This window comes from Homo sapiens, chromosome 12 (assembly GCF_000001405.40).
Source record: "Homo sapiens chromosome 12, GRCh38.p14 Primary Assembly".
Taxonomy (NCBI): Eukaryota; Metazoa; Chordata; class Mammalia; order Primates; family Hominidae; genus Homo; species Homo sapiens.
The window spans coordinates 104,907,482-104,929,125 of record NC_000012.12 but is presented as its reverse complement, the minus strand read 5'-3'; the positions used below and the strand labels follow the sequence as shown (position 1 = coordinate 104,929,125).

At 36.8% G+C, this 21,644-nt stretch overlaps 1 protein-coding gene across 21 annotated transcripts in view; it reads left to right on the top strand.

Moving 5' to 3' along the window:
- Nucleotides 1–21,644, top strand: part of SLC41A2 (solute carrier family 41 member 2) — a 156,946-nt gene that overhangs the window by 29,621 nt on the left and 105,681 nt on the right. For 20 of the 21 annotated variants that reach the window (NM_001387125.1, NM_001352169.2, XM_047429648.1 and 17 more), the window contains 2 exons: nucleotides 432–1,153; nucleotides 19,364–19,471. In NM_001387125.1, the coding sequence (NP_001374054.1) occupies nucleotides 599–1,153; nucleotides 19,364–19,471 (663 nt within the window). In that variant the 5' untranslated portion in view covers nucleotides 432–598. Of the gene's footprint in view, nucleotides 1–431; nucleotides 1,154–14,037; nucleotides 14,154–19,363; nucleotides 19,472–21,644 lie in introns of those variants that run through there. The other variant, XM_017020016.3, reaches the window with a different exon arrangement.

Here is a 21,644-nt window from a genome sequence, read left to right as displayed (position 1 = left end):
ATTTAATGTTTAAAGTATAATGCCATATATCTTTTGTTGTGTACTGACAGATGCAAAGGGTATAGCAATTTGATTCTGAGTCCTTGCAATAGTAATAAAAGCCATTACTTTATTTAAAACATTTGTCCACTGTGGGATTTCAAGAGGCAGTTGAAGACCTTACGTGGATATTGATCACATAAAGTATGCAAAGATAAGAAATACTTTTAACCAAGATTGAGCACAAAAATAGCTCTGTATTATATTTCTGTACACAAAGCAGTTGTGTGGCACAAAACAGTTATGTTTTAAGCCCACAAAGTATAGTATCAGTACCGTAGGGTTGGTTTAAGAACATGTGTTTTTAATACCTTTATAAGAATTGAAGTATCTATCTTGATACTGAAACTATCTTGTTTCTCTGATTTTTAAAAATTATTTTATTTTTCCAGATCCAGTCCTTCTGTGGAACTTCTGAACATCTTTTATTAGTGGAAATATTTTCTACACAATGAAGTCAACAACTTAATTTAAACCAGTGTTTGTGCGGTTCTGATTCATCTGCTGTGGTTCCCGAAGCTTGAGATCTAAGGAGTACAGGGTCTTTTGTGATGACAATATGACTAATAGTAAAGGAAGATCTATTACCGATAAAACAAGTGGTGGTCCAAGTAGTGGAGGAGGTTTTGTAGATTGGACTTTACGTTTAAACACAATTCAATCCGACAAGTTTTTAAATTTACTCTTGAGTATGGTTCCAGTGATTTACCAGAAAAACCAAGAAGACAGGCACAAAAAAGCAAACGGCATTTGGCAAGATGGATTATCAACTGCAGTACAGACTTTTAGTAATAGATCTGAGCAACACATGGAGTATCACAGTTTCTCAGAGCAGTCTTTTCATGCCAATAATGGGCACGCATCATCAAGCTGCAGCCAAAAGTATGATGACTATGCCAATTATAATTACTGTGATGGAAGGGAGACTTCAGAAACCACTGCCATGTTACAAGATGAAGATATATCTAGTGATGGTGATGAAGATGCTATTGTAGAAGTGACCCCAAAATTACCAAAGGAATCCAGTGGCATCATGGCATTGCAAATACTTGTGCCCTTTTTGCTAGCTGGTTTTGGAACAGTTTCAGCTGGCATGGTACTGGATATAGTACAGGTGGGTTTTCATCTTTATTTAACTTTACTGTCTTTTTTTGTTATTCCATTTCTGTTTAAAATGCTTTATGTAGGTTACTACTCTCAAACATTCACTTTAGATTTAATTTATCCCTTGGTAAAATGAACAGATGCTGACTCTGGGAGAGAATCTATTTCTAGGTGGGAGTTTTTCTTTTTTCCCCTTTAGAAATTCTGAAAGAATAGTTATTCTGACTGTAAAGTAACTCTTCTCTACAGACCTTGGAAGAGCTTGGTTAAAAGAAAATCTTCCCAAAATGTTATATTTAAATACTTTCTTACTTTTAAAATAAAAATTAATATATACTCATTAAAATGACTTCAAACATTAGAGGGTATTAAATAAAACATGAAGTTTCTCCTATTCCTTATCTCCGAATCAAAACTCTCCTCCTCTCCAGAGATTATCATTGTGAAGTGTTCGTTGTATACACTTGCAGCCTCTTTTCTATGCTTACATATATACATATGAGAGTTTTTCCAAAAATAAAAATAAAATGTTGCATATATTTTTCTGCAACTTATTTTCATTGCTTAATAATACATCTCTCCAAATTGGTATACAAAGATTTTCTGCATTTTAAACTGAGTGCATGATATTCCATTGTATGTATATACCAAAATTTACTTACTCATTCTTCCTTATTGGTGCTGTAATAACTATCCTTATAAGAATATATATTCATATAGTAATGTTTTCATAGGATAGATTTAAAAACAGCATTGTTGGATATTAGGGTATGAATTAATATCTATGTTTAAAATTTTGTAGATACTGTCAAGTCGCATTCCAAAAAATTTGTATCAATTTATACTCCTACTGTCAAAATAGAAGTACTTTTATTTTTTCATGTCCCTATCAACATTGGGTATTTATTTTATTTTATTTTATTTTGAGACAGGGTCTCGCTCTGTGGCCTAGGTCACTACACCCTCAACCTCCTGGGCTCAAGTAACCCTCCCACCTCAGCCTCTTGAGTGGCTGGTACTACAGGCGCACTACACCTCACTAATTAAAAAAAATTTTTTTTTAGAGACAAGGTCTTGCTGTGTTGCCCAGGCGGGTCTCAAACTCCTGGGCTCAAGCAATCCTCCCACCTTGGCCTTTCCAAAGTGCTAGGGATTGCAGGTGTGTACCACTGTGCCCAGCCAACACTGGGTCTTCTTGATCTTTTTCATATTTGCCAAATGGCAGGAAAATGTTATCATGTTTTAATTAACATTATTATTAATGTTTAGCATATTGTCATGTGTTTATTGGCCATTCTTTTTCTGTGAATTATTTTTTGTATCTTTTATTTATTTTTAAAATTTATGTGCTACTTATTGATTTGTAGGTATTCTCTTTTTTTTTTTATTTTTTTTAAGGCGCAGTCTAGCTTTGTCACCCAGGCTGGAGTGCAGTGGCGTGATCTTGGCTCACTGCAATCTCCACCTCCCAAGTTCAAGTGATTCTCCTGCCTCAGCCTCCTGAGTAGCTGGGACCACAGGCTCACGCTACCATGCCTGGCTAATTTTTGTATTTTTAGTAGAGATGTTGGTTAGGCTGGTCTCAATCTCCTGACCTCAAGTGATCCGCCTGCCTCTGCCTCCCAAAGTGCTGGGATTACAGGCATGACCCACCATGTCTAGCCGATTTGTAGGTGTTCTTAATGCCTTGTGGTTACCAAATACCTATTATATAATTATCTTTCTAAAGTAATAAGTTGCCAAAATGTGACATTTTGTTCTGTCAGTTTTTGTTTATCAGTCATAGAAAGGTTGCCTCTGGGAAACTATTAGATATATTATCTTATAATGTGCTCTTATCTTTCATTGTTTGTTCCCTAAAGGAACCTCAGGTTATTTGTGACTCTAAGATGCTATTCAAGAGGTAACATTTTTATCTAAATGGAAAATATACATAAATAGAAACATTTTTCCACCATCAGTTGGAGAAAGGATATGAGAGGAACTATATTGCAGTACATTAAAGTTTTAAATAGATAATAATACCAAAGAGAGAGCAAACCTACATCCACTTGAAATATAATTGTTTTAGGTTCTTATAGTAGTATCACAGCTGCGACAATAAATAGGCTGGTTTTGGTTTGGATTTTTTCTTGAGATACCAATTATTCTGAAGAAACACTCAGTATTTAACTATAGAATGGTAACATCTATAGGACTAAGGTGTTAGAGTACAGCTTAGCAGAATGTTTATATAGCTCATTATGTATCTGGAGTAATGTTGACTTACTTCCTGATACTGAGAGAACAGCACGCATATAATTGGAAAAAGTTCCTTTTATGATTTTATGAACTTTTACAGTGCTAGCCCTAAGGACTTTATAATGTTAAACTTTAGTGTTAAACATTGTAGAAACGTAATATAAATTTTTTTTTTTCTTTTTTTGAGATGGAGCCTCGCTCTTTCACCCAGGCCGGACTGCAGTGGCGCTATCTCGGCTCACTGCAAACTCCGCCTCCCGGGTTCATACCGTTCTCCTGCCTCAGCCTCCCAAGTAGCTGGGACTACAGGCGCCCGCCACCGCGCCCGGCTAATTTTTTGTATTTTTAGTAGAGATGGGGTTTCACCATGTTAGCCAGGATGGTCTCAATTTCCTGACCTCGTGATCCGCCTGTCTCGGCCTCCCAAAGTGCTGGGATTATAGGCGTGAGCCACCGCGCCTGGCCGATATAAATATTTTTAAAGACTTTATTTGAATGTGCTCTTTTAAACTTTTTAATTGAAATGTAATACATCTAGAGTATATAAAATAAAAAATAGAGACTCTGGATTTTCGTAATATAAACAACCATGTAACTATCAACCAGCTCAAGAAATATAATTTTGCCAGTACTGCTTCTTTAGTCCTCCTTGTGCCTTCTTCCAATTGCTGCCCTTTTTGTCCCCATCACCAAAGGTAATCACTAATCTGATTTTCTGGTAAGCACCTCTTTGCTTGTCTTTATAAGTGTGTATCCCTAAACAACATAGTTTGGTTTTACTTGACTCTTTTTAAACTATATAATGGAAGTATAGAACATGGTTTTTTGTGTGTGTGTGGCTTTTTTTCCCTCAACATTATATAAATTTCATGAAACTGTAGTTTATTTCCATTGCTGGATAGTAATCCATTATATGAATATACTGTACCACAATTTATCTATTCTGCTATGAATGGACATTGGGAGGAATGGTGCTTCCAGACTCTTTTTTTTTTTTGAGACAGAGTTTCACTCTTGTTGCCCTGGCTGGAGTGCAATGGTGCAGTCTCACCTCACTGCAACCTCCAACTCCCAGGTTCAAGCGATTCTCCTGCCTCAGCCTCCCGAGTAGCTGGGATTACAGGCATGTGCCACCACACCTGGCTAATTTTGTATTTTTAATAGAGATGGGGTTTCTCCATGTGGGTCAGGCTGGTCTTGAACTCCCGACCTCAGGTGATCCGCCTGCCTCAGCCTCCCAAAGTGCTGGGATTACAGGCGTGAGCCACCACACCAGGCTGCTTCCAGACTTTTGATGCACATATGCATGAATTTCTTTTGGGTATATATGTAGAGATGGAATTTCCAGGTCTTAGGATATGGAGATACTCAAATTTAGTAGATGTCATATGATTTTCCACATTGGTTGCACCAATTTACAGTCTAATTAGCAGAGTACAAGAGATCTCAATACTCTATATTCTTATTTCTACTTGGAATCAGTAGTCTTTTTATTTTTAGAAATTCTGGCACATGTGGAGTGGTACCTCATTGTCGTTTTAATAGAGATTTCTGTGATAACTAATGATGTATATTTGGATATTACTGGTAAAGCTTTCTTTGTCCATCTTTCTATTTGTTTTTCTTATAGATTTATGGGAGCTGTTATTTGTTTTTCTTATAGATTTATAGGAGTTACATTTTGGATATGAGCCATTTAGTGCTATATATTTAAAACATCTTTTCTCTCCTCTGTGGCAGAAGTTCTTAATTTTGAAATAGTTCTTTTCCTCCTGCTTTTTCATAGTTTGTGTTTTATGTCTCTCGTCTAAGAAATCTTTCCATACCCTGTGGTAATTAAGATATTCTATTACATTACTTTGTTGAAGCTTTGCTGTTTTGCTCTTACATTTAGATCATTCCCTCCCTGGAATGGATTTTTGTGTAGAGTATGAAATGGGGCTTATGTTTGGTTACTGGTTTCTTGAGGTTTTCTATTTCTTCATGGTTCAATAGTTGTATGTGTCCAGAATTTATCCTTGTTGCATGTTTTCCAATTTGTTCGTGTATAGTTGTTCATAATAGTCTTTGATGATTCTTTGTATTTTTGTGGTCTCAGTTGTTATGAATCCTTTTTCATTTCTAATTTTACTTATTTGGGACTTCTCTCTTTTTTTCATAGTCTAGCTAAAAGTTTGTTGATTTTATCTTTTCAAAAAATAACTTTTTGTTTCATTGATCTGTATTTTTTTAGTCTGAATTTCATTATTTCTGCTCTGATCTTTATTTAATTTCTTTTCTTCTACTAATTTGGGGTTTGAATTGTTCTTGCTTTTCTAGTTCCTTGGGGTGCATAGTTAAGTTGTTTATTTGAAGTCTTTCTATTTTTTTTTTTTTTTTTGAGATGGAGTCTCACTCTGTTGCCCAGGCTGGAGTGCAGTGGCACGATCACGGCTCACTTCAAGCTCCGCCTCCTGGATTCACACCATTCTCCTGCCTCAGCCTCCTGAGTAGCTGGGACTACAGGCGCCCGCCACCCCGCCTGGCTAATTTTTTGTGCTTTTAGTAGAGACGGAGTTTCACCGTGTTAGCCAGGATGGTCTCGACCTCCTGACCTCGTGACCCACACGCCTCGGCCTCCCAAAGTGCTGGGATTACAGGCATGAGCCACCGCGCCCGGCCTCTATTTTTTGACATAGTATTTATTGTTATAAACTTTCCTCTTAATACTGCTATTGCTGTATTCCATAGATTTTGACATGTTGTATTTTCATTTTCATTTGTTGCAAGAAAATTTTAAATTTTAAATTTCCTTCTTAATTTCTTCATTTCATTGGTCACTCAGGAGCATGTGGTTTAATTTCTATGTGTTTGTGTAGTTTCTGAGGTTCATCTTCTTATTGATTCTAGTCTTATTCCATTGTGCTCTGCAGAGAGACTTGATCTGATATCTACTTTTTTGAATTTGTGGAGAATATTTTGTGGCTTAAGATATAATCTATTCTGGTAGAATGTTCTGCGTGCTGATGAAAAGAATGTATCTTCTGTAGCAGTTGGGTGAAATGTTCTCTAATTATCAGTTAGGTCTGTTTGGTCTAATGTGTGGTTTAACTCCAGTGTTTCTTTGTTGATTTTCTGTCTGACTGATCTGTTCATTATTGAGAGTGGAGTGTTGAAGTCCCCTACTATTACTGTATTGTAGTCTATCTCTCTCTCTTTAGATTTATAAATGTTTGCTTTATATACTTAGAAGCTCTGGTGTTGGGTGGATATATATATATATATACAATTGTTATGTCTTCTTGCTGAATTGACCCCTTTATCATTATATAGTGGTCTCTTTTTCTCTTTTACTGTCTTTGATTTGTAGTCTATTCTATCTAGCATAAATATAGCTATTCTTTGCTCTTTTCTTGGTTTCTAGTTGCATGGAATATATTTTTCTACTGCTTCACCTCCAGTCTAGGTGTGTCTTTATAGATGAAGTGGGTTTCTTGTAGGCAGAAACCTGGGTCTTGTTTCTTTACCCATGTAGCCACTCTATGCCTTTTCATTGGAGAATTGAGTAATTTACATTCAGTATTATTATTGATAAGTAAGGACTTACAATTGACATTTTGTTGCTTATTTTCTGCCTGTTTTGTAACTCTTCCTTTCTTACTGTCTTCCTCTGTGATTCGTTTGTGATTTTTCTCTAGTTGCATGTTTCAATTTGCTGCTTTTTATTTTTAGTGAATAAGTTATAGATTTTTACACTGTGGTTACCATAAGGCTTAAAAAAAAATCTTATAATGTTATTTTAAAGAGATGACAACTTATCTTAGATCACAAAGAAAATAATAGAAACAAAGAAAAAACTAAGAAACTCTACACTTTAACTCCACCCCCTCCATTTTTGACCTTTGGTTATTCCAATTTTCACATTTTTATATTGCCTATCTCTTAATGGGTTGCTGTAGCTATTATTGTTTTTGATAGATTTGTGTTTTAGGCTTCATACTAGAGTTATGAGCGGATTGCACACCCTAATTACAGTATTAGAGTATTCTTGGTTTTGCTGTGCACTTAGTTTTACCAGTGGATTTTTTATCTTCAACTGTTTTCTTTTTGCACATTAGTGTGTTTTTCTTTCAGGTCAAAGAACTCCCTTTAGTATTTCTTATAAGACAAAACTAGAGGTGCTGAATTCTCCCAGCTTTTGTTTGTCTGGGATAGCTTTGCTGGTTATAGTATTCTTGGATGGTAGCTTTTTTTTTTTTCTTTTCAAATTTCTTTCAGCATTTTGAAAATGTTATTTCACCCTCTTCTGGCCTGTATGGTTTCTGCTGAAAAGTCTGTTGCCAGATGACCTGGAGCTCCTTCACATGTTATTTCTTCTTTTTCTCTTGCTGCTTTTAGGATTCTCTCTCTTTGACTTTTGAGATTTTATTATTATATGCCTTGGGGTAGTCTTATTTGGGTCAGATCTGGTGTTCTCTGACCTTATTGTATCTGGATATTTATAGCTTTCTCAAGTTTTGGAAAGTTTTCAGTTTTTATTTCTTTGAATAAGCTTTCTATCCCTTGCTCTTGCTCAACTCCCTCTTGAATATGAATAATTATTAGATTTCGTCTTTCAAGGTAGTTTTTTATAGCTTGTAGACAATCTTTGATCCTTTTTTTCCTTCTTGTTTTTTTAAGAGACAGGGTTTCTTTCTCCCAGACTGGAGCCCAGCTTCAAATTCCTGGGCTCAAGTGATCCTCCCACCTCAGTTCCTAAGTAGTTGGGACCACAGGCATGTGACACCATACCCAGCTAATTTTTTATTATTATTATTATTTTATTTTATTTTATTTTTTGAGACAGAGTCTTGCTCTGTCACCCAGGCTGGAGTGCAGTGGCATGATCTCAGCTCACTGCAAGCTCTGCTTCCCAGGTTCATGCCATTCTCCTACCTCAGCCTCCCTAGTAGCTGGGACTACAAGTGCCCGCCACCACACCTAGCTAATTTTTTGTATTTTTAGTAGAGATGGGGTTTCACTGTGTTAGCCAGGATGGTCTCGATCTCCTGACCTTGTGATCCGCCTGCCTCGGCCTCCCAAAGTGCTGGGATTACAGGTGTGAGCCACCACGCCCAGCCCATATCCAGCTAATTTAAAAAAAATTTTGTCGAGACAGGGTCTTGCTTTGTTGTGCAGGCTGTTTTTCTTTTTCTTTTTTTCTTCTCTGTGTATTTTCAAATAGCTCACCGACTCTTTCTTCTGCTTGATCCATTCTGTTGAGAGCTTTCAATGAATTTATCAGTTCAGCAAATGTATTTCTCAGTTTTACGATTTGTTTTCTTTTATTTTTATTATTTCAATCTCTTTGTTAAATTTCTCTGATAAATTTCTGCATTACTTTTCCTTGTCATCTTGAATGTTTAACAGAATTCCCTTTTAAATTCCAGCAAGACTTTTTGTAGATATAAATAAGATTATTCTAAAATTCATATCCAAACGGAAAGAAAATAGGATAGCTGTAACAATTTTGAGACAGGAAAAATTTCAAGAATTATTATATGGTTTAATAATCCAGACTGCATGATATTAGAGGATGGATAGACACAGAGATCAATGCCACAGAATGGACAACCTAGAGAGAGAGACCCACACAAATACATCCAACTAATTTTTGACAGAGGTGCCAAAGCAATTCAGTGGAGGCAAAAATAGCCTTTTCAGCAAATGGTGCTGGAGCAATTCAACATCCATAGGCAAACAAATAAATTTGACCTGAGTCTCGTGCTTTATAGAAAAATTAACTCAATATGGACCACACACTTAAATATGAAATGTAAATGATAAAACCTTTAGGGAAAAAACAGGAGAAAATCTCAGGATTTCAGACTAAGCAGAGTTCTTACACTTGACACCAAAAACATGATCCATAAAAAGAAAAATTAATAAATTGGATTTCATAAAAGAAACAGTTTACTCTGAACAATGCTAAAAGGATGAAAAGACAAGCTACAGAGTGGGAAAAAATATTTTCAAACCACCTATCTGACAAAGGATTAGTATATGTAAGAACTCTTAAATCTCAACAGTTAAAAAAAAATTAGAAAATTGGCAGAAGACCCAGAGCAGTTCACTGAAGAACATATACAGATGGCAGATAAACACATGAAAAGAAGTTCAACATCATTAGCCATTAGAGAAATGCAAATGAAAACCACAATGAACTATCACTACACACCTATCAGAATGGCTAAAATAAAACATAGTGACAACACTGGATGGAGTTAGCATGTAGAGAAAGGATATCATGCATTGCTGTTGGGAATATAAAATGGTACAGCTGCTGTGGAAACACTTTTGCAGTTCTGTAAAAAAACAAACCCTAAATATTAACTACCATGTGACATAGCAACTGCATTCCTGGGCATTTATCCCCAGAGAATGCAGACTTATGTTCATACAAATCCTCTACAAGAATGGTTATGGTAGCATTATCCATGGTGGCTAAGAACTGGATACAACCGAAGTGTCCTTCAACAGTTGAGTTAAACTTTGGTAAATTCATATGATGGAATACTACTACCCAGCAACAAAAAGAAATAAACTATTGACACATGCAACAACCTAGATGAATCTCCAGAGAATTATGCTGAGTGAAAAGCTAATCTTAAAATATTATAGATTGTATTACTTCATTCATACAAAATTCTCTGATTGATAAAATTATAGAAGTGGAGAACAGATTAGTGGTTGCCAGTGGTTAAGGAGGTATTAGTAGTGGAGAGAAATGGCTCTAAAAGAGAATTAGGAGAGCTCCTTGTGGTGATGGAAATGTTCTATATCTTGACTGTATCAATGCCAATATCTTGGTTGTGATATTGTACTGTAGTTTTTGCAAGATACCACTGGGGAAAAATGGGGTAAGGGTTACATGGGATCTCTCTGTATTAGTTTTTTATAACTGCATGTGAATCTACAATTACTTCAAAATAAAAAGTTTAATTTAAAAAAAGTAATATGTGTACCTGGTTAAGCATATTTAAGCAGTATGAAAGAGTAAGTGATGGAGAAAAAAGTCTGTCCTCTGCTGTATGCACCCTTAGCCCGGGCCCTTCCTTAGAAATGACTGTTTTTAGTTTTTTTTTTTTTTTTTTTCATGTATCTCCTTCAACAGACATGAAATGAATGTATTTGCATTAATATATATATTTTCTAAAAAACAAAAACTAAGTAACACTCTATAATGTTGCTCTTCACTTTGATCTTCTTAATTTGTCTTAGAGCTCTTTCACTGTAGGTACACACAGATTTACCAAATTCTTCTCAGACAGATAATGCACTAATACAAGGATGTATCATAATTAATCTGCCGAGTTACCTTATGAAGGGGATTTTAATTGCCTCAAATCTTTGGCTGTTATGAACAATGATGAAGAAGAGTCATTATATGGGTGTGTTTTTGAACTCATATGCAAGTTTGTTTATAGGTCAGATTCCTAGAAGTAGAATTCTGAGTCAAAATTTTGGTCATTTTACATTTGATAGGTATTACCAGATTCCACCAAAGAAGTTAAACATTTACGTTTTCACAAGCAGTGCAAAAGAGTGCCTATGTCCTTATACTCTTAGCAAAAGTGTATTTTCCAACTTTTTGATCTTTACCAATCTCATCAGTGAAAACTTTTCACCTTTTCATTTGTATTTCTATAATTATGATTGAAGTTGGTCATTTTGTCATATGTTTAAAAGTGAATAGGTTTATTTTCTTTTTATATATATATATTTTATATATATATTTATTTTATTTTATTATTATACTTTAAGTTTTAGGGTACATGTACACAATGTGCAGGTTAGTTACATATGTATACATGTGCCATGCTGGTGTGCTGCACCCATTAACTCATCATTTAGCATTAGGTATATCTCCTAATGCTACCCCGTCCCCCCTCCCCCCACCCCACAACATTCCCCAGATTGTGATGTTCCCCTTCCTGTGTCCATGTGTTCTCATTGTTCAATTCCCACCTATGAGTGAGAACATGCGGTGTTTGGTTTTTTGTCCTTGTGATATTTACTAAGAATGATTTCCAGTTTCATCCATGTCCCTACAAAGGACATGAACTCATCATTTTTTATGGCTGCATAGTATTCCATGGTGTATATGTGCCACATTTTCTTAATCCAGTCTATCATTGTTGGATATTTGGGTTGGTTCCAAGTCTTTGCTATTGTGAATAGTGCCGCAATAAACATACATGTGCATGTGTCTTTATAGCAGCATGATTTATAGTCCTTTGGGTATATACCCAGTAATGGGATGGCTGGGTCAAATGGTATTTCTAGTTCTAGATCCCCGAGGAATCGCCACACTGTCTTCCACAATGGTTGAACTAGTTTACAGTCCCACCAACAGTGTAAAAGTGTTCCTATTTCTCCACATCCTCTCCAGGACCTGTTGTTTCCTGACTTTTTAATGATTGCCATTCTAACTGGTGTGAGATGGTATCTCATTGTGGTTTTGATTTGCATTTCTCTGATGGCCAGTGATGGTGAGCATTTTTTCACGTGTTTTTTGGCTGCATAAATGTCTTCTTTTGAGAAGTGTCTGTTCATGTCCTTCGCCCACTTGTTGATGGGGTTGTTTGTTTTTTTCTTGTAAATTTGTTTGAGTTCATTGTAGATTCTGGATATTAGCCCTTTGTCAGATGAGTAGGTTGTGAAAATTTTCTCCCATTTTGTAGGTTGCCTGTTCACTCTGATGGTAGTTTCTTTTGCTGTGCAGAAGCTCTTTAGTTTAATTAGATCCCATTTGTCAATTTTGGCTTTTGTTGCCATTGCTTTTGGTGTTTTAGACATGAAGTCCTTGCCCACGCCTATGTCCTGAATGGTAATGCCTAGGTTTTCTTCTAGGGTTTTTATGGTTTTAGGTCTAACATTTAAGTCTTTAATCCATCTTGAATTAATTTTTGTATAAGGTGTAAGGAAGGGATCCAGTTTTAGCTTTCTACATATGGCTAGCCAGTTTTCCCAGCACCATTTATTAAATAGGAAATTCTTTCCCCATTGCTTGTTTTTGTCAGGTTTGTCAAAGATCAGATAGTTGTAGATATGTGGCGTTATTTCTGAGGGCTCTGTTCTGTTCCATTGATCTATATCTCTGTTTTGGTACCAGTACCATGCTGTTTTGGTTACTGTAGCCTTGTAGTATAGTTTGAAGTCAGGTAGCGTGATGCCTCCAACTTTGTTCTTTTGGCTTAGGATTGACTTGGCGATGCGGGCTCTTTTTTGGTTCCATATGAACTTTAAAGTAGTTTTTTCCAATTCTGTGAAGAAAGTCATTGGTAGCTTGATGGGGATGGCATTGAATCTATAAATTACCTTGGCTAAAATGGATTCACAGCCGAATTCTAACAGAGGTACAAGGAGGAGCTGGTACCATTCCTTCTGAAACTATTCCAATCAATAGAAAAAGAGGGAATCCTCCCTAACTCATTTTCTGAGGCCAGCATCATCCTGATACCAAAGCCGGGCAGAGACACAACCAAAAAAGAGAATTTTAGATCAATATCTTTGATGAACATTGATGCAAAAATCCTCAATAAAATACTGGCAAACCGAATCCAGCAGCACATCAAAAAGCTTATCCACCATGATCAAGTGGGCTTCATCCCTGGGATGCAAGGCTGATTCAATATACGCAAATCAATAAATGTAATCCAGCATATAAACAGAACCAAAGACAAAAACCACATGATTATCTCAATAGATGCAGAAAAGGCCTTTGACAAAATTCAACAACCCCTTATGCTAAAAACTCTCAATAAGTTAGGTATTGATGGGACATATCTCAAAATAATAAGAGCTATCTATGACAAACCCACAGCCAATATCATACTGAATGGGCAAAAACTGGAAGCATTCCCTTTGAAAAGTGTCACAAGACAGGGATGCCCTCTCTCACCACTCCTATTCAACATAGTGTTGGAAGTTCTGGCCAGGGCAATCAGGCAGGAGAAGGAAATACAGGGTATTCAATTAGGAAAAGAGGAAGTCAAATTGTCCCTGTTTGCAGATGACATGATTGTATATCTAGAAAACCCCATTATATCAGCCCAAAATCTCCTTAAGCTGATAAGCAACTTCAGCAAAGTCTCAGGATACAAAATCAATGTACAAAAATCACAAGCATTCTTATACACCAATAACAGACAAACAGAGAGCCAAATCATGAGTGAACTCCCATTCACAATTGCTTCAAAGAGAATAAAATACCTAGGAATCTAACTTATAAGGGATGTGAAGGACCTCTTCAAGGAGAACTACACACCACTGCTCAATGAAATAAAAAGAGGATACAAACAAATGGAAGAACATTCCATGCTCATGGGTAGGAAGAATCAATATCGTGAAAATGGCCATACTGCCCAAGGTTTATTTTCAAACTAAGTTTAAATGACAATAAAAATTTTTTCCATATATAAGGATTTGGAGTATGTGTTTTTTTAACTGCATAACCTTCTTTTACCAATTAAAAAATGTTCTCTGTCATTTTAAAGTTAGGAGTCTATAGATGTGTTCTTCAACTTATTATTTTGAATTTTCATTTTTGTTTATTCTTGTGGATTTAAACAGATTTTTAGGTTTTGAGTCTATTATTTATGTAAGTAATCTGACATTATGTTTGACTTGTAGATGTATACCTCAGTTTCTGCAGTGATGCATGTGCAAAGTTAGGTATGACAAGAAGTCATACTTTACGGCAGGTTCATAGCTCCAGAGCACATACTGGATCATGGTAAAATTTGTAAGTAAGTGAACATTATTTTTGGCACTAGCTGCTTCAGCATTCCCTCTCTGGACATTTTCTGCATTATGTCCTCTTGACAGGAAAATTAACTGATAATGCATCCTGGTCTTACAGCTAATAAACACTCAGTTAATTACTATGTGCAGGCACAGTCCTGAGCAGAATCTTCTGAGGTGGTACAAGTATGTCCATATTTTAGATGCAGAAAGTAAAGCATAATTTTGCCCAAATCACACAGTAAGTAGTAGAGTCAGAATTTCAGTGAAGGTGATCTGACTCTAGAGCCCTTGCTGTTGACCCCTGTGCATACTACTTCATACTCTTCTCATAGTTCCCAGTTGTGTGTCAAGACACTCCAGGGTTACTGTGGGATATTTTAAGTTTTTGAGGGAAACACAATGATGTCTCCTGGATGCACTGTAGACTACTAGCTCAAGGTGGCTTAACATTTCAACATTAGATCACACTCCATTTCTTTGGATGGTATGTCTTTTGCAGAACTGGGTTTTCAGTAGTGCTGTGATAAAAAGCAAGAGTCACACAAAAATCAATATAAAACAGGAAATGAAGGTGATAGTTTCCAATTCCAACATTTGAGAAGTTATGCAGTGCCAAACAGGTACTTATACCCCATTAGTAAATAATTATGGTTGTAAAAAATGACATTAAATACTATTTTTTCTTTCAATTTACCTGTATAAGTTCTTCAAATGGTTACTAAAGTGTTAGGAAATAAATACTTACTAGGTTGTTCGGACCTAACTACTTAATACATAGGATTGTTAGGTATTCTTTTTGTCCTAAGGATGCTATGAAAATATTTCTCAGATACTAAGCGTGCCGTGAACTGAGAAAGTTTGGGAACTTCTGCAAGCACATCAGGTTGTGTTAACTTTTTTTTTTCTTTTTTTTGAGATAGAGTCTCGCCCTGTCACCCAGGCTGGAATGCAATGGCGCCGTCTCAGCTCACTGCAACTTCTGCCTCCTGGGTTCAGGCGATTCTCCTGCCTCGGCCTCCTAAGGAGCTGGGATTACAGGCACTTGCCACTATGCCAGCTAATTTTTGCAGAGATGGGGTTTCACCATATTGGCCAGGCTGGTCTCGAGCTCCTGACCTCAAGTGATCCATCTGCCTCGGCCTTCCAGAGTGCTGGGATTACAGGCGTGAGCCGCTGCCCAACCTGGTGTTAACTTTTGAATGATGAGGTACATAAATTTGGAAAGGAGAGCTTTATATTTCATACAGGGTTGCAGCCTGCAAGGTGGCCATTCTGACAGTCTGGGAAGCATCGCCTCTAGCCAGAAGCCAGAAACAGACACTTCAAAGGAGGGGAAAAAGGAAATAGGAATTTATGCTGGGTGGGGTGGCCAAATGTACGTATTTAATATGCTATAAGAGGAGTCATGAGTATTTGTGAAAAGAGAAACGTGCATGTGCAGTGGAACTTCATACCCCTTCATGAGTCCCATGTAGACTGGCCAGAACCACTCTGTGATCACTGGTCTCTTACCAGGAAGGAATCCTGGTCAGTTGTTTTGCTGAAACTACAAAAGAGGGTGGGAGCAGTCAAGATCAGCAGTGGAGTCTTTTGAAAAGGTTGATTTCTGTGTAGCCCTTAGGGAAGAAAGCCTAATGGCAGTTAACAAGGGTAAAGGGGTATAATGGGGTGTGGTTGATCTCCCATGCTGTCCTGGCCGAGAACTCAGTTTTCAAGGTCACGCTGTCCTCTTGGCCGTAAGAGTGTTCTTTCAGTTGGTTTTGGGGCATTTGGATTTTTATTTCTCACTAGTATGGAAAAAATAATGTAGAATTTTTTGGCACAAGATAGGAGATCAATAATTCATAGCTCTTATTGTTGTCACACCAATGCTGAGGTGTTAAGTATTTCATAGTAATTCTCCCATAAGTATTTCATTTGAGTTGAATGTGGAAAGAATAACCAAAGGGAGTAACCTATAGGCGTGCATTCCAACAGGTCTAAAGCATGATGGCATGTGATGCTTTCATGTTGCAACAACCAACACAGAAGACTTCTGTGACCAAATGTGTGGGGGTTTTACCCTACACACCAAGCAAGCAGTCAGTTCTGCAGCAGACACTGGCTGATGCAGAATTAGTGTTCTCCAATTCAATTCTGACATTATCCAGAGGTAGCATCAGATCCCACAGGTTGAGGGCTCAGTCCAAAAGACTGTCCTCCGCTTGAGATACCAGATGCAAGTCCTGGCCTCCAGAATTTCTGACCAACTGGCTTTAAGCTGGGGTTCCGGTGATCTCCTCTTCGGGCTTGATTGGTCTGCTGAAGCTGCTCACAGAACTCAGGCAAACACTTAACTCTACCTGTTTCTCATTAAGGTTATTACAAAGAATACAGATGAAGAAATATGTAGGGCGAGGTATGGGGGCAGAGACACGGAGCTTTCATGCCCTCCCTGTGTGCTCCCTCATCCAGGAACTTCCAAATGTTCAGCTGTGTGGAAACTCTCCAAACCAAGTCCTTTTGGACTTTTATGAAGCTTCATTATGTAGGCATGATTATTAAACCCCTGGTCATCGGTGATCAACTTAACCTTCAGTCCCTCCATCCTCCCCAAAGGTGTTTGTGTGGGTGGGGGTGGTTTGAAAGTCCCAGTCCTCTAATAATGCCTTGGTCTTTCTGGTGACCAGCCCCTATCCTGAAGCTACCTGGGGCTGCCAGCTGTCATCAATCAGCATACACAAAGACATCACTTTGTGTATCACTAAATTCTAACGATTTTAGATGTATGCCAGGAAACAGGGTTGAAGACCAAATATATGCTTCGCAGTATCACAGCAAGTGTCATAAAATGATGACCTAGGTAAAAGGTATTCTGAAGTATATCCGGGATCTGATAAAAATCATACCTATCTCTTAGGTTTGTTGTGAAGATTAAGTGAGTGAGTCTAAAGAACAGTGCCTGGAACATAACGATCAGTGAATGTTAGATATTATTAATATTTGTTATTATTATTATCTGTTATTCATCATTATCATCATTGCTACCAATGTCTTTGAAAGATACATATTTCATTAGCACATCAGAATTGTTAGCCCATCATAAAACATGGACAAAATCGTTTGCTGGTTAGTTTTTAAGACTAATAATCTGGGGTGCCATTGAACCCCCCCCACCCAGTGCTTTCTTAGGCCCATCCTTAATTGGCTTGAACCCAATTAGAGGGATTTCCCTTGTGAACTCTTTGAACCAGGATTTTACAGAAGACTGATCTGATAAATATTTTCTGAGGTCTCTTTAGGCCCCCCAGTTCTACATCTGTTTGGAACAGCCTAGGGAAAGTTTGGGAACAAATCAAAATTTTCCTTCATTTATCTGATAGATATAAGTTTTACTTTTCTCATCTGTCTTGGTATTCATGACATGTATATTTTTGATACTTTTTGATATAAAGTTAATATGCCTAGCTCATAAAATATCTTACTGGGATAATCACCTCTTAATAGCACTTGTAAAATGTCACTTTGTGTTATTAAGATATTTGTATCTTTAATATCTTTATATATATCTTTAATATCTGTTATTTTAATATCTGTTATTTTCATTATCATGTGTAAACCAAAATCATCCAAGACAGGCCTCAATTTAGAAGTTTATTTTGCCAAAGTTACGGATCATGACCTGTGATACAGCCTCAGGAGGTATGGAGAACATGTGCCCAATATGGTTGGGTTATAGCTTGATTTTGTACATTTTTTGGGGGACAGAAGTTACAGGCAGACATCGATCAATACATGTAAGTTATACATTGGTTTGGTTCAGAAATGTGGGACAACTTAAAAGTGGGGGCTTCCAAGTCATAGGTGGATTCAAAGATTTTCTGATTGGCAATTGGTTTAAAGAATTAAATTATTTGAAGACCTGGAATCAATAGAAAGGAATATGTGGGTTAAGATAAGGGGTGTGGAGACCAAGGTTCTTACTATGCAGATGAAGCCTCCAGGTAGCAGGCTTCAGAGAGAATAGATGGTAAATGTTTCTTATCAGACTTAAAAAGTTGCCAGACTCTTAGTTAATCTCTCCTGGATCAGGAAAAGACCTGGAAAGGGAAAAAGTTTTGCTACAGAATGTAGATTTTCTCCACAAGAGACAGCTTTGCAGGGCCATTAAAAATATGTCAAAGAAATATATTTTGGGGTAAAATACTTCAGTTTCATTCAGGGTCTGCTGTCATGTGATGCTATACTAAAGACTGTTTGGAATTTGGTATCTCATTGCTACAAAGAGTCTATTTTGTCAGTCTTAAGATCTCTGTTTTAATGTTAATGTTGGTCAGTTATGCCTGAATTTTAAAGGGAAGAGGGTATAATGAGGCATGTCTGACCCGCCCCCTTCCCATTATGGCCTAAGCTAGATTTTAGGTTTACTTTGGAATGCCCTTGGCTGAGAAGGGGGTCTATTCCATTGGTTGGGGACATTAGAAGTTTATTTTTCATTTATACATGGTATTTCTCCAAAGACTAGATAGGGTGGATATTATTTTCATTTAATGGATGAAGAAATTGAGATCAGAAAGATACATGACTCATCCAGGATCATGAAGCCAAGTTATGACAGATCCATGGCTAGAAGCACAAACCTTATTTCCAGTTTAGTGCTGTTTTTATGAACCTCTCTGCCTCACACCTTAAAATGGGGATTAAAACATGGGATTACTTAGAACTCCTGGGGTCAACTCTAGGTCCCATCTTTTGATCTTGGGGAAATAATTTAATCTCTCTGAGTCTTTATTCCTTCATTTGTGAAATTAGGTAGTAATAGCACTAATTTTCCAGTGGGTTTGTTTTAATTAGTATTGGAAGCAAGATTCAAATCAATTGTCTGATTCCAGAATCTGTGCTCTTAACCACTAGCCAGTCTAACGATTGTCATCATAAAGGGATAAAGTAAAACCTTTAGGAATATAAGGGTTGTGTAACAAGTAGATGTAGAATGGGTTGTAGCAACATATCAGCTGACCCCCAACTCTAACAGCATCTTTTAAAGTGACTCAGAGCTTCAGAGCTCAGGAGAATGGAGTTAAGCTAAGTGCTCGCTGATTACATGAACTGTGTGGTTATTCAAAATGTAGATGCCAAGTTGGGAAAAAGGCTGAGATTTTTAGAAATGTCTTTGTTCTAAAGTATTTTTTAAAGAGTGCCAGAAAATTTTATTTTATTTTTTTTCTTACAGCACTGGGAGGTGTTCAGAAAAGTTACAGAAGTTTTCATTTTAGTCCCTGCACTTCTTGGTCTCAAAGGGAACTTGGAAATGACATTGGCATCCAGATTATCCACTGCAGTAAGTTTTTTCCTACCTCAAATTATGTGTATTACCTATCCTGTTTCTCTCTGTTAAGGGGAACTTGTATCAGGAAAATATTTCTTTCTCTGATATGCTTCTGCACTTCAGGGCTGTGCTAAGTAGTTATGCCTGATATCATATTCTGAAATATTGTCTCATCTGATAATTATAGGCCCTCTTTTATCCCAGGAAGTAGTTACTTGCCTCCTTTGATGCCAGGACATTCTGGCATTTATCATCAATGCTTAAGGCATGGGGTAAATCAGATATTGAGATTCTTTGTGGTTCGATGGTTGGTTGATTGGTATTTAAACTTTCTGTAATTGTAGAAGTAATACATTCTTATTATAAAAACTACAGAAAAGGGAACAATATAAAAAAGAAAATCTAAAGCTACCCCTAATTATCCACTTAGATATAACCTCTACTAATATTTTGGTACAGATCCTTCTATACCTGCATATCTATGCTTATATATAGTTAGGTATATCATAATGTAAATGCATACTGTGTATTCTAAAAAAGAACTAGAATTCTATATATTCTCATTTATAATCTGTGATCTCCATTTAAAAATACATCATGATCATCTTTCCATATCAGTAAATGTAGATCTGTGTCGTTATTGAATATGTACTTTTCTGTTGTATAGCTCTACTACAGTTTACTTCATCATCTATTATTGGATGTTTAAACTCCTTCTAACATTCTTCTATTATGAACAATGTTGTGATGAATATTCTTGTACATACATTTTTCCATTCTTATTTTTTTAGGGCCTGTTCTAGGATTGTAATTACTATTCAGAAAAAAGAAATCTGTACTTTTAAGTCTTTAGCTACATATTGCAAAATTGTCATTCGAAAAGCATAAACATTTTAAAAAATACTGCCAGTAGCAGAGTTCTGAGTTATTTTCAGAAGCTCAAAAGGACATTGTTATCTTATTATAATATGATTTTGGGGTTTGCCATTGTGGAACCAAGTTATGGTTAAAACCACGTAGCTAGTGAGGTTCACTTCAATGAGCTATCTGCCTGTGAAATGCTAGCCAAAACTTAACTAAGTCACCAGATGATATTACTAACTGAAATTCCTTTAGTATATAAAGTTTTTTTCCTTTAAAGAAGATAAAGCAAGATAGAGTTGATCCATGTATCAATTAGGAAAAAATTTATGTATCTAAAGGTAATCAAGAAATGGGAACTGAACAACTGTGCTGTTGATGGGAGGACTCTCCACCCTCTGTCCCACTTCTCCTCTCCCCCTTTTCCACCCAGGCAACTGCCAGTTTCCTAAAGTTTCTTGAGTAAAGCAGATGCTTGGAAAGAAAATGCATAAAATAATGTTTTATTAACATTACTAGTTTGCTTAATTTTTTATTTTTTTTGAGACGGAATCTTGTTGTTGCCCAGACTGGAGTACAGTGGCGTGATCTCAGCTCACTGCAGCCTCTGCCTCCTGGGTTCAAGCAATTCTCCTGCCTCAGCCTCCCAAGTAGCTGGGATTACAGTCATGCACCACCATGCCCAGTTAATTTTTGTAGTTTTAGTAGAGACGGGGTTTCACCATGTTGGCCAGGCTGGTCTCGAACTCCTGACCTCAGGTGATCCGCCTGCCTCTGCCACCCAAAGTGCTGGGATTACAGGCGTGAGCCACTGTGCCTGGCCTGGTTTGCTTAATTAAGGGAAAATGGCTCATGTACCCTACAGAGCTTTGTAAGTTCCTTCCTTATATAGTATATAAAAGGTCATATAGCTATATCTGCAGAGGACAATAATGAAATATCTGGTATTAGTGAGCTCTTATTATATGCCAGGTCCTTTGCTAACTGCTTTCCAGTGATATCTTATACCAACCCTATGGAATAAGCACTATTATCCTGCTTTGCAGAGTAGGAATTGAGGCTTAGAGCAGTTGAGTAACTTTCCTGAGGGCACACAGCTCTACATATAGTGGAATAAGTCACATTCCAGAATGTTCCTTTTACCTGCACAGGGTAACTCTGTCAGAATTTATAAAACCAATAAATAACAGCAGTAACAAAAACCTAATAGCTTCCCCATGTACTTTGTAAGAATGATCTGCTAAGGTCTTGGTCTTAGCACCAATACTTTTGGTACTTAATATTTAAAATATTTAAATGTTATTTCAAACATTATTATTTACAG